The sequence below is a fragment of the Homo sapiens genome, chromosome 10 (assembly GCF_000001405.40).
Source record: "Homo sapiens chromosome 10, GRCh38.p14 Primary Assembly".
Lineage (NCBI taxonomy): Eukaryota > Metazoa > Chordata > Mammalia > Primates > Hominidae > Homo > Homo sapiens.
Genome location: NC_000010.11, coordinates 78812865 through 78826347, shown reverse-complemented (window position 1 = coordinate 78826347; position 13483 = coordinate 78812865).

The following is a 13483-nucleotide window of genomic DNA, read 5'->3' as shown; positions in this document are numbered from 1 at the left end:
TGCAGGAGAGGGAGGTCCTCATGAGGAAGGACCCCACCTCACCATGGCAACTGTGTCCAGTGATGACTGCCCATCCTTTTAGGACTTGTATACTGAGAAATGGTAAATACCAGCGTTGACCTTGATAAACAGGGACTGGGGTCATCCTGGCCACTGTTAGAGAGGATGCAGATGAGGTCAGGTCATTAATGCAGTCCTAGCACAGATCTGATTCCTGTGGACCCACAGCATCCACAGAGCCACCCCAGGGACATTTTCCCAGTTCCTGAATGTATAACTGTAATGAACATACCTGTATTTGGCAAACCTTCTGCTTTGGTGCCTTGGACTGTGAGATATAAGGTATCCCAGTGGGAAGGGCCAAGTAGAAGCTGCCAAAACCCCTTCACTTCCATCCACAGCAAAGAAGGAATGTGAAAAACAATATTGCATTTCAGGTAAGAAATGGCAGAGATTAATGCCACCTTGAAAGTCCTAAAGAACGCAGCGGTAGTGGACCTCATTCTTTCACCTTTTAATTCACCAACAGAAGCCTACAAAAATGAGATGCACCATGGAGGATGAGAGTAGGGTACCACAATTTGACTAAGTAGTGGCCTCAGTTGCAGTGCTGTGATTTTGCTAGAGAGATGAACACAGCTTCAAGAAGACGGTGTCTGATCATTGATCTCTATTATGAAGGAGCACCAGAGCAGGTCACATTCTCATGGGGATGAAAAATTGCATACATGTAAGGTCTTTCACCAGGCTTAGGTAACACTCTTGTCTTCTGTCATAATCTAGTCCAAGAGGTCTAGAACTATCTAGACAATTGGTAGGATATGGCATTGGTCTGTGGAATTGATGAGATCCTGTCAATAAAACTGAGTAAACAAAAAGTGGCAAGTGTGTCCAAGACAATGGGGCAAGCATCTGATGAGGTCTTTCTTTCTGCATCATCCAATGACAGGAAGTGGAAAGGCAAGAGCAAGAGAGCACAAGAGGGAACCAAACTCATCCCTTTATAAGAAACCCATTACCATGATAATGGCAATAATCTAATAACAGCATCAATCCATTCATGAGGGCAAAGGCCTCCTGGCTTAATTATCTCTCAACTGGCCCCACCTCCCAATGCTGTTGCATTGGGGATTAAGTTTCTAGCACATGCCTTTTGGGGGACACATTCAAACCATAGTAGGGCCTCTTTGGTTTCTGGAAGCAGTATACTCCACACTTGGGAAAACTGCTTCAACCCATTTATCAAGTGACATGACAGGCTTCCAGCTCTGCAGGAAAGAGAACTGTAAGCTACACAACTTGATAGACTTCATGGTATTGTAGGTATCTGTAGTAGAAGAAGAAGTGACGTGGAGTTTACAGTAAGCTCTAAAAGGAAAATTACTGCATAGAGTCCTAGGATTCTGGAATAAGGCCATGCCACCTGCAACAGAGAATTATACAGTATTCAAAAATAACCCTTAGCATGCTACTGGGCCCTGGTAGAGATGGAGCCCCTGACCATAAGACATCAAGTGACCATAAGACATCAAGTGACCATAAAGCAAATTGTCCAGCATGAGCTGGATTCATATGGAGCCAAAAAGTCATAGGATTGGGTGACACCAGCAGTAACATGGCAGTGGCATATCTGGGATCAGGCATGAACAGAGCCAGATGATACCAGTAATCTGCCCAAGAAGGAGGCCCAAACTCCCCTATAGTCCGCCACAGTCAATCAGCTCCCATCTGTGCCTGCAAGGGTGGAGTTCCTTAAGACTAGCTGAGAGGGGTAGAAAAAAGCCAAGCTCTGTTTATGGATGTGTTGACTTGGTATCTAGGTATGAGCTGGAAATAAACAGCTGATACATGACAGTCCCATTCAAGGGTGACCCTGAAAACCAGCAGAGGGGAGAAATCCTCTCAGTGGGAAGAGCCCTGGGCAATGTACCTGGTCTATCTGGTCATCAACTTTGTGTACAAAGAGCAGTGGTTCGAGGTAGAACATATATGGACTCATGGGAAGCAGTGAATGACTGAGCCATTGGTCACAGTTCTAGAAGGAGAAAGATCAGGAGAAGAGATAAAAAGGCCCAGGAAAGACCCACAAGGATGAGACAATGGGACTTGTTATGGAGTGTGAAGACCTTTCAATGACATGTTGACACCCATTAGAGAGTATCTGCCATAGAAGAGGCACCAGGTGGGCAGAATGATTCAAATCGTTGGTGTCAGCCAGCCTCTGTCCTTGGCAATCCTCATGCTGGCAGAAATGGACCCATGAACAAAGAAGTCATGGGAGCAAGGATAGAGGTTACACATGGTATTCACAGCCTGGGGTTCCTACTCGTTAAAGCCAATGTAGCTACTGCCATTGTCCAATGTCTTCCAGTAACAGAGACCAAGGCTGAGATGCTAATATGGCACCATTCTTCAAAGAGATTAACTGGCCACTTGGTGGCAAGTTGATTACATTGAACCCCTTTCATTCTGACAGGGAAATTGACTCATTTTGATTGGAATGGACATACATTCTGGCTACGGGTTTACCTCTCTTGTCTGCAGGGTTTCAGCCTGCACCCTCATCTAATAGCTTATAGAATATTTGATCCAGCAATCTAGGATCCTATATAAATAACATTGCATCAGACCAAGAGAACCACTTCACAGTTATATAAGACTATAGGAACCTTTGAGATTACCACAAACTATACCACCAGACCCTGCTGACTTGACAGAGTGATGAAGTAGCCTTTGAAAGTGCAGCTGAGGCATCAGTTTGGAGATGATGTCTGTGAGCATAGGATATCATTGCCCAGGATGCAGTATGCACCCTAAATCAGTGAGCACTAAATGATCCCCAGTCAGTAAAATGCATGAGTGTGGGGAAAAAGGGGTAGAAGTAGGAATGTCTCTGTTTACCATCACTCCCAAGGACCCATTTGGGGAATCTGTGCTTTCTGTCTCCACAAAACTAGGGTCTGTGGGTCTTGAAGTCCTGGTTTCCAGAGGGTGCATGCTTCCATCAGGGGACACTGGAAAAGCCCATTAAACTTTAAGCTACGGTATTACACAGTGTCTTTGGGCTGCTTACATTGAGGGACCAGCAGGCAAGGAAAAAGTGTCACTATTCTGGCAGAGTTAAGGGACCCTTGTTGTCAGGAGGAAGTTGGGCTGTCGTTACGCCATGAAAGAACAGGGAAGAATGTATTTGGCACCAAGGTGATACACTAGGAAGTGTTTTGTTCTTTCCTGCCCAGTTTTGAACAGGAATAAACTGTGTAATTTGAGAAGCACAGACATCTGTGAAGTAAGTACCCGGGATCCAGAGAGGCCTGAAGGATGGGATGGCAGCCAGGGATTCAGACCCTCTAGGAATAAGGTCTGGGCATGATATTGGATGAGCACAGAGACCACCATAGGTGCTAGGTGCTACTGAAAGGAACCTAGAGAAGTGGAGGAGGGGAACTGAGAGTGCTACATGCAGCAGTGGTGGCTGTCATCTGTCCCACTAACCTTCCTCCTATAAGTCTCCCCAGGAAAAGAGACAACTGGAATCCAGGAGTCAGAATATGCTGTTCCCAGAACTTAGATGAAACAAGCAGATTTGGGTGGTGCAAGGGGTGGACTGTAGTAGATGCTGAGATGCACTGCCCAGGCTGTCCTTCAGGGTTAAGCACTCATTCCCAGAGCTTCCAAGAGTGCTGCTTGCTCATGGCTCTAAGCCAAGTCTCCCCCTAGGAATTGCACTTGGCCAAAAGGAGCTACTGTGTCCAAGCTCTGTTTGTCTTCTGCCTGGGAGCAAGCCTCCTCCATGGCTGGGTGATATGAGGCACAAAGCTCCATCTGCTTCACCTCAATTCAGAGCAATTTTGAAGGGGAGTTCCAGCTCTCCATAAGTTTAATAAGGCTTTCATTGCAACAGCAACACAGTTCTATTTCTCCCTCTGCTCAAATTTGCTTCCTTTACTCTCACAGGTGTTGTTCCCAGGAGCACTTCCTAATAAAATTGCAATACAGCAATCTCCATCTCAGAGTTTGTTTCCTGGTGAGCCCATTCAATAATAGCATGGTTTTGAGATCCTTTGCATCTGTTTTCTGCTCATGTTCTAGAAGAGTAATATCTGTCTTGACAAATGGTCAAGACAAATAGAAATAGAGCAATAATTTTTCAGGGTAAAATAGAGGACTCTCACCTCCCTTATGTAGGCACTATACTTTTATTAATGTGGCCTAAGTCAGCAATAACTCTTTTGAAGCCACGCCATATAGTTAACTTTTCTAAACTCATTCTTTTTTTTTTTTTTTTTTTTTGAGACAGGGCCTTGCATCATCACTTAGACTGAAGTGCAGTGGTGTGATCATACCTCACTACAACCTTGAACTCAAGCAATATTCTTGCCCCAGCTTCCCAGCTAACTAGGACTACAGGAGCACACCACCATGCTTAGTTAATTTTTAAATTTTTTGTGGAGACAGGGTCTCACTATGTTGCTCAAGCTCGTCTTGAACTCCTGGCCTCAAGTGATCTTCCCACCTCAGCCTCCTAAAGTGGTGGGATTACAAATCTGGCCTAAAGTCACTCTTGATTCAAAACTCCATGTCTTTTCTAAGCCTTGCTGCTGTTAAACCATGTGTCCCTTACCAAGAATGTGCCGTCAGCTTTTGGGGGATCAAACACAGGACTTTTGCTACCACTTATCATTCCTAACTGCTGAAAGCTTTTTGGATCAGACTTTCATTTAATTTATTTATCTTTCCTTTCAAATTTATATCATTTTCAAATTTGATAAGGCCACCTTCCATGTTCTTAATTCAGGCTGTTAATGAAAATTCACATCAAATTGCTCCAGGCCTTCCCAGTGGTTGGCTGTCTCCTTTCTAGAGTGGGAAAGAGAGCTCTGTGATGTCTAGAGGCATACGTCTATTCTCTCTTCTGCTGTGGGTCTCTTTAGGAGCTTATTGTCATCATTGCCAACACCTATTGGCCCCTGTCTCTGTGCTGCCATCCTAAGCACTCTAGCTCACTCTCTGGCTTCATCCTCACCACAGCCCTGGGTGGGAGGCACTAGCTCTACTGAAGTGCTCTAGAGCAATTAAATGACCAGCCTGAGGTCACACAGCTGTTAAGTGGCAGAGCCTGGATTCATACCTGGTTTGGCTGACCACAGAGCAAGCTGATGACTTGTGTTATCTACTATGATGCCTCTTCCAGGAAGTGACTTTCAAGGCTGGCTCCTTCCCGTTGCAGCGTGTGAAGAAGTCTGTGGAGGGATAGGTCACTTGGCTCAGGTCAGGAGACCCGAGAGAGATGCTGAGCTCTGGAGAGACAAAGACCTGTGGTCCCTGAGCTCTTTGGAGAGAAGAAAACCTCTCAAAGACAAGACAGTAGAGGGAGGGGTTAAGCTCACTTGGTCTTACTTTCTTTAGATAATAGTAGCACTTACTGAAGGTGTATTATGTGCCAGGCACTGGCAAAGCCATCTACATGTACTGCCTCAATTGTTTCTCCAATACTGGTAGGAAGTATCTGTGGCACAGAGAGGTTAAATAATTTGTCCTTAGTCACAAAGATAGTTGAGGAATGAACCAGTGTCTTCTCAAGAGAATACTGGCCTCTTTGTCTCAGTTTACAGATGAGCCAACTGAAGGCTAGAAGAGGGACAATGACATTGCAAGTCACATTGTAAACCAGTCGCAGAGTCTTCATAAAACTCTACCTTCTGCAGATTGTGTTGTCACTTCCCACCATTGTTCTGTTAGATATGGGCTCCACAAGGGCAGGAGTTATTGACTACTTTGTCTATGAATTTACGTGGTGTCCCCAACTGCAGTAACACTGCCTGTCACAGAGTGGGTGATTAATACATTATTTATTCACAAAAGTGTGTTTGTGATCTCTATACTATTGGCCAAGTGCCCCACAGCCATGTGACAACACATAACTGGTTATACCCATGTGCATATGCAGTGGGTCAGCTCTGTCACATACTTTGCCCAAGTTTTCCCTACCAGGCAGCTGATACTTGTGAATTCTCTGGGCGCATTTGCAGGATGTTCTTCTTCCCTGGAACCACCCAGTTTCAGCCATTCTTTGCTGAAACCCCAGCCTGAGCCTTGCTCAGGTAGGAATGTGAGGGGGAGACCTCCACTGTTCTCTGGGCAGGTCTTGCTTGCTATCTTGTCTGTTATGCCACCCCCACACAGCACCCAGTCCAGGGCTAGGCATCCAACAGCCGGCTGCTAAGAGATCTTGCAGTTTCCTGCCAGGAACAGCTGGGATTTTTGCTGGGCAGGTTGTGTTGTTGCTGAGATTTCTCTCTTTTTTTTTTTTTTCCACAGAGAAATAGGAACACACAATGCTCCTAACACAACACTAAGAATCTGTCTCAACAAGCCCCTCCATGAGTTTACAGTAAATATTGCAAAAAACCCACCAAGTTTTTAATTATGCATGGCCTTCCGGCCTGCAGGGAGTGACCGGAGGGAGCTGGCTCCTCTGGAGACTTCCCTGAGAGCAGTGAAGAGGACGGGACACTTGTAGGCCCTCAAAGAGCCTGGAATCTAAGCCATTTCTCGATTCAGGACAGACAGAGAGTACTTAGAATAACAAAATATTTATTTTGAGTTATTACTCAATAATAAAAATTAACTGGGTGGAAGATATTTTGAATTGTCAAATTGCAGTTTCCTTTGCTCTGCCTCTTGGTGCAGATGGTGGCCTTGCTCTTCAACCACGTGGTCATCTAAGAGATGGTCAGTCATGGACTTTGTGACACAATGGCAGCATGGTCCTCCCTACAGCATCCTGACAGCCCTATGCTGGGAGGTGTGCTCACCAGCCCTGGCCTTTCTACTCGATGAAGGGCCCAGTGACTTCAAGTGGATCACAAACATCCTGCTATGATAGAAATCAGCCACCTCAGCAAGAAGGCCTTCTGTTTCCACCTGTCATGTTCCTTCATTTCGCATCTTCTGCAGAGGGTCCTGTCTGCTCATAGTCCAGTTACAATAGTCCTGGTGGTCTTGCAAATGACTCATCATGCTAAACTCTTAATAATTTATTTATATTTGGCTTGTGGAATATTTGAGCTGTGAGGCCACTTGGAGGCTATGTAGTATTTTATCTCTTTCTATAGAGATATAGAGAGGTTCAGGGCCTTGTCCAAGGTCACACAGCGAGTAAGTGGCAGAGCTGGGATGCAAGGCCAGGTTGGCAGGCCCCAGCCTTTGTTGTCCTTCACTGGGTTGTGCTGCCTTTACAATAGAAGCCCAGGGAAAGAACTTGCCCAATTCATCCGGCAGATGGAAACCAAATTAGAACCCTGTATTACTTTGCTAGGGCTGCCATAACAAAGTACCACAAACCATTGGCTTAAACAATGGGAATTTATTGGCTCACAGTTTTGGCGGCCAGAAGTGCAAAATCAAGGTGTGGCGGGGTTAGTTCCATCTGAGGGCTGTGAGGAAGAATCTGTTTCAGGCCTCTCCCCTAACGTTTGATGATTGGCTGGCAGTCTTTGGCTTTCCTTGGCTTATAGATGCATCACTCCAATCTCCGCCTTCATCTTCATATGGTGCACTCCTTTTTGTCCATGTCTGTGTTAAAATTTCCCCCTTTAATAACAGTAACAGTCATACTGGATCAGGGACCAGTGACCCTAAGGGTGACCTCATTGTAATTAGTTACATATGCAATGGGCCTCTTTCCAAATAAGGTCACATTCTCAGGTGCTGTGGGTTAGAACATCAACATATGAATTTGGGGGGCACACTGTTCAACCCATCACAAACCCTGATTATCCTCTAACATGGTATCCAGAGCAACTTTTAATCAAACAAATCACAATCAAATGGAATAAAATATGGGTTTCTTAGCAGCCTGGAAGAAACTATTAGGGCTTTAAATAAATTGAATAATGCAACACCATAACTCTGAAATCCCTCCACTCAAATTGGCTGTGCCTGGGCCCGCTGTCACCGGCATGGCCAACTGTCTGTGATGGTCCAAAAGGGATGGATTGCAAGAGTCTAGAGAGAGGGAGAGGAAGGGTTTAGACCCAAGGCCTCCTGTCTGACATGTTTGAGGGTTTATTTGCTTGTCCAGCATGAGAAGGGGTCAGCTTTGCGAGAGCAGAACTAAAAATATTTGGTGGATACCAGTAGTGACTACAGAGTGAGCTCAGAGAAGCCCCCACTCAGTGGTGGAGCTGGGCCTGGGACTCGTGATCCTAACCACATGGCAGAACTGATGCCCACTTTAAGCATTTCCAAATTGTTTCTGCACCTGAACTGCTAGTCCTTTGAAGGCAGAGGTCTGCTGCCCCACTGCCTGCCTTACAATGCATTCTGATTGGAAGCCACTGGGCACTGAGGTTGTTATTGTAATGCGTAGAGCTTCAGCCTCTTTCCGCAGAACTAAAATCTCAGATAAGCCCATTCCATATCATTGCTTTGGAAGCACAATGCTTCACTGTGGCCTCTCACCCTCAATCCTCTGCTCCCCCACCTCTCATCCCCCAACCATTTCTCCTTGTGTAATTAAAGGGAAAATGTTCTGCATTCATTTACCTTATGCTTTATCAAATAACAGAGAGATGAATTAAGAGGTCCATATTTCTATTTCAAGGTTCATGTGCTTTCACAAACTGTGCAAGTTGTGCTCTTAAAACCTGCCGCATCAGCAGGAAGTCTCTGCTCAAAACATAGCCATCTCTCCCCCTTCCTCTTTTCATTCCCCAGTGCAATTTCTAAATAGATGTGACGGTTAGGAATTCTGCATAGACAATTGTGAAATAATACTCACAGTGGCCAGGATTCTCTAGTCTCTCCTTCTCCCTCCCTCCCCTTCTCTCTTTCTCTCCCTCTCTTTCCCTCCCTTCCCTTTCCCTCTCCCCTTCCCTCTCTCCCTCCCATCCCCTTCCCCTGTCTTACTTATTGCTCAAGAAGGAATGCCGGGTTCTTGGCTCAGCTAACTGGACTGCAACAAACACTTATTCAGTACCTACTATGTAAAGATGACTACAGTAGGAACCACTGGGAAAACAAAAATATTAATACCTTAAATCTCTGTGGTTCCTTTTAGTTAACAAAACACCTTTACGTTCATAACCACATTGAATTCTTGCAAGAACCCTCTGACATGCATAATATTATTATTGGCTTTGCCACTCTGCAGTGAGGAAACTGAAGCTGAGATGGATTGAATAACTGGGGACTCTTCACCTCCAGTGGGTCAAGGACTCCCTTCTTAGACCAGTGAAGTTAATGAAGTCTGTCTCAGAATAATGGCTTTTAATGCATAAAACCAAATACATAGGGTCACAGAGGCAACCAGTTATATTGAAATGCAATTTTCAAAATACAAAAAAGTCTATATAGTAATATATGTGCTTCCTTAGTAACACGTTAAATAACAAGAGCCTATTAACTATTGTAATTTTAAAGTAATGACTTGCTATATCAGGAATCAGTGAACTATGATCTGAGTTACTACCTATTTTTGTAAATAAAGTTTTATTGGAACATAGCCATGTCCATTCATTTACATATTGTCTTTGACTGCTTCAGAGCTGCAATAGCCGAGTTAAGTTATTGCAAGAGACTGCATGGATTACGATGCCTACAACACTTACTATCCGGACCTTCATGGAAAAGGTTTGCTGACCTCTGCTGTAGTCAATATTTTGAGATAACTGCAACAACTTTAATGGAATAGGAAAATGACTATGCTTTCTATGGGTGACAAATTTTCAAGTATCACCAATATTGTGGTTTGTTTCCTGCATGTGTGATTGAAGAATGTCATTTTTCCATCTGAGTCAGGGTACAGAAACCAGTATTTGTCCTAAATCCCTTGGTGTCTGGTATGGAGAATCTCCTAGTCAGGAAGAGCATGCACTCACATGTGCACATATACACCCCCACCCTCTCCTAGGAAGCAGTCTCTGCCTAGTGCTATCATAAGGAGAAAGAGTGACATGGAACTCTGGGGGAGATGGTATTGCTCAGCCTTTTAATAGTCTGAAGTCTTTAATAAATCCAGAGCCACCACGTGTGGTTGTATTGGTTGACACCAGGCCAAGAGGATGAACTCTAGCTAGGCTCACTAAGCCTGCTTATGTTGGGGAGTTTGGTGCCTTTCTCTAGTTATTAGAAAGGTGCCCTGTGGGCTGGTAGACAGCCTGGGTACATCTTCCCTTAAGCCACATGGATGGGCCTATGTTTAGGTTTAGACTCAGTGGGGGCTTGTCAATGTGTGGTCAGTTCCTCCAAAAACAAACACTTTACAGGTTCATTGGTAGACTGACTGTTGAATAGATCATAATAAAGAGAGAAGGTCATCATCATATTGAGGAATTTTAAATACTTCATTCTGCAAATTTTTCACTTACTCATCCTTTTATGCACATCGTTCTTTCTCTCTTCCTAACAAACATTGGTTAATTATTTGCTATGTGCAAGCCTCTTGGCTAGGCACTTCACTGATACCTATGAGTCAGAAAAACTTTAGTCCTGGCTCTGTAATTTCCTAGCAATGTGACCTTGGGTAGATTCTACTCTATGCAATGGAAATCATAAATATACCTGCCACCTTCCTCACAGATCTGAGGTGAGTCCAAGGAGATAACACATGGAGAACAGTGATGGGGAAAAGTTGTTTCAGAAATTAAAAGGAAGGAGAAATCTCTGTAGTTAATGTTCTGACTGATTCATAGAGATAGCCTTGAGTACAGCCTCAAAAAATGGGCAGGATTTGAAGAAGCCATTAGTAAGTTGAACCCAGTGAAGACATCAAAATTGTGCCATGAGTGAGGGCTGGGGTGGTTAGGAAGGGGCTATGTAATCTTGCTGTTTCTCTTAGAAGCTATGACAGTGCACTACCTGCTGAGCTTTCAGAGCCAGCCATAGCCATTGCTATGAGATTGTGTTTATTATCATCATCCTCATCAACATTATTATCATTATTAATAATACAATATTTGGAGCATTTATGCACATTAATTTTAAACAAGCATGTGCAGTGGCAAGATTTGATGCCACTACCAATAAAAAGCCATAGCATGGATTTTTAATTTACATAAAATAATTTATGCTAATTTAATGAGTCCTTTGTTTACAACTGAGGCTCTCTCACTGCTGATTTGGGAGATATGCTCAACTGCAGCACACTGCAGAACTTGAAGCCCGACACACACATCCATTTTGCAGGGACACTCCTCCTACAGGGAGGGAAGAGCCACCCAGTCTTTTGTGGCAGAACACATTTAGATTCGGTAAGTTCTTATTTACAACTTACTCCCTTTAAGGGACTGTGCTAGGTGCTGGCCTGCTGTTAACTAATTTGGTTCTGACAATCACTTTGTGAAGAGGATCAGAGAGGCTTCATGTCTGACCCAAGATCAAACAGCTGTCAAGTGGCAAGGCTGTGAACAGTTTCTAATTCTCAGCTACTTTCTATACTCCTATAGCAGCCCTTAAATAAGAGCTAACATGGCTTGGGACATGGTATGTCCAGGATCAACACTGACTGACTGACTGACTGACTGACTGAATGAATGAATGAATGAATAGCACCATTACAGTCAAAAGTGGTTTCAGGTGTGTTAGCTCTCTGACACCTTGCAGCAGCCCTGAGAGGCAGGTCTGGCCACCTCTGTTTTACAGCAGAAGCTATGCAGGTGGGGTAATGGAGAGAGCATTGTGCTGTAAGCTCAGAGTTTGTCCTGTTGATTGTGTCACTGATTTATGGCGTGACCTTGGCCCGACCTTGACCTGGGTCAAAGTGCTCCCCCCAGTTTCTCCATTGCCCCATTTGCAAGACATAAGGAAGAATCCCTTGTCCTTCTAATCTGATGGGCAGGAAAAAAAAAATGAGAGTGTGGAGGGTACTGCGCAGGGTGTCTGGGAATTATAAGGTGGTATTTGTCAGACCTGCCTTGGGAAACCTTGAAAAATTGAATGGAAACCACTGGGCTCATTCATCTCCTTTTAACAGCCCCATGTCATCCAGCCTGGTCTTTTCCATTCCTGCTCTGTCCAATCCTGACAACATAATTTAGTTCCAGAGAACTTGAATAGAACACAGTGGACTGATATTTCCACATGCTCTGGCCTTGATTAATACTGTCAGGGCAGCCGCTGGCGAGGATGAGGAGCCAGGGAGGATAATGCTCTGCCGTGCTCCACCTCCAGTGCTCACCACCTCTCCCCCTACTCAGGCGCCCTCCCTTTCCCATCCCTATAGGCCCCACATGCACCCTCCTTGCTCTGGCCCAGACTCTGAGTTCCTTATCTGGTATGTTTGTTCATCCCATTGACCTGCTCTTCATTCTGCCAACATATTGGATATTCACCACGGCCAGGCAACGGGGATACAGAGTTAAGTAAGGACGTGCCCCTGCCTTTGAAGTAGTCGTTCATAGGATAATGAAAACCCATGGACATGCAGAAAGAAACTGTCCAAGGGATGGAGCAAGTGCTGCAGCAGGGATGGAGGCAGAATGGGGCAGGAGGAAGGAGGGCTTTACAAGGGAGCCAATGTCAAACTGGGAGTCTCAGGATTAGTGAAATCTCTCCAGGGGAGAGAGGAAGGGGAAGGGTGTGTGGCAGTAAGCACTCCAAGGAGCTGGAGATGCCTGGCACTGCGCAGGGATGGCCAGGGGTCTGGGAGGCTCTACATGAGGTAGGGGCAAGACTTGGAGCAGAGCCTGGAAAGGCAGGAGAATGGAGCCAGTTCCCTCTCCAAGGCAGATATTGGCAGGTGTGCCTCAGCTCTGGTTTTAGTGGCATGCCTTTCTTGGAGAGATAAAGAATAAGACATTGAAGGATTGGCAAGTAGAGAGCTGGAAAGCAGATAAGGGAAAATCCCACTCACATCCCTCCTCAGTGAGAGTGGGGGCAAATCTCCAACATCAGCAGGTTATGGGGAGCAGGTAGGTGGGGAGGGGACAGGGGAGGTATTTTCCTTTCTTTTGCATGAATGGGGCAAAAGTGGCCCCATTCTGACAGTCTTCTGAAAACAGTGTATGCTTCTCTTTTTTGTGGCCTGTCTTCAAAATACACACTCACTCAGAGATACCTAAAAACTGCTAAACACACTCAAGCCTCCTCCCAATTTTCCACACAAGAGTGCCTTTAATGGGTCACAGAGGAGGCTGTGATGGCGTCCTGGCTCTGCCTAACAACACCTACATCGATGGCTTCTTTCCATGGATATCAAGATTTATTGTTCCTCAAATCAAATATTGACCTTGGCTTTTTGTCCATCAATATATGACCTTTCAAGTCAATGAACCTAGATATGCTAGTCAATGTTTATTATTGTTTCCCCTGGCCTGAACTGGGAATTTCAGACCCCAGTGCATGGGTTGAACCACAGTGATGATCTGTTTACAACTCCTTGCACTTGGAATTTGTGACTGAAGTGTTCTGGGATGAGCTGCACCATTTCTGGGGATCTCTGTCTCTCTCTCTCTCTCAGCTACAGAAGCCACTCGGGCCA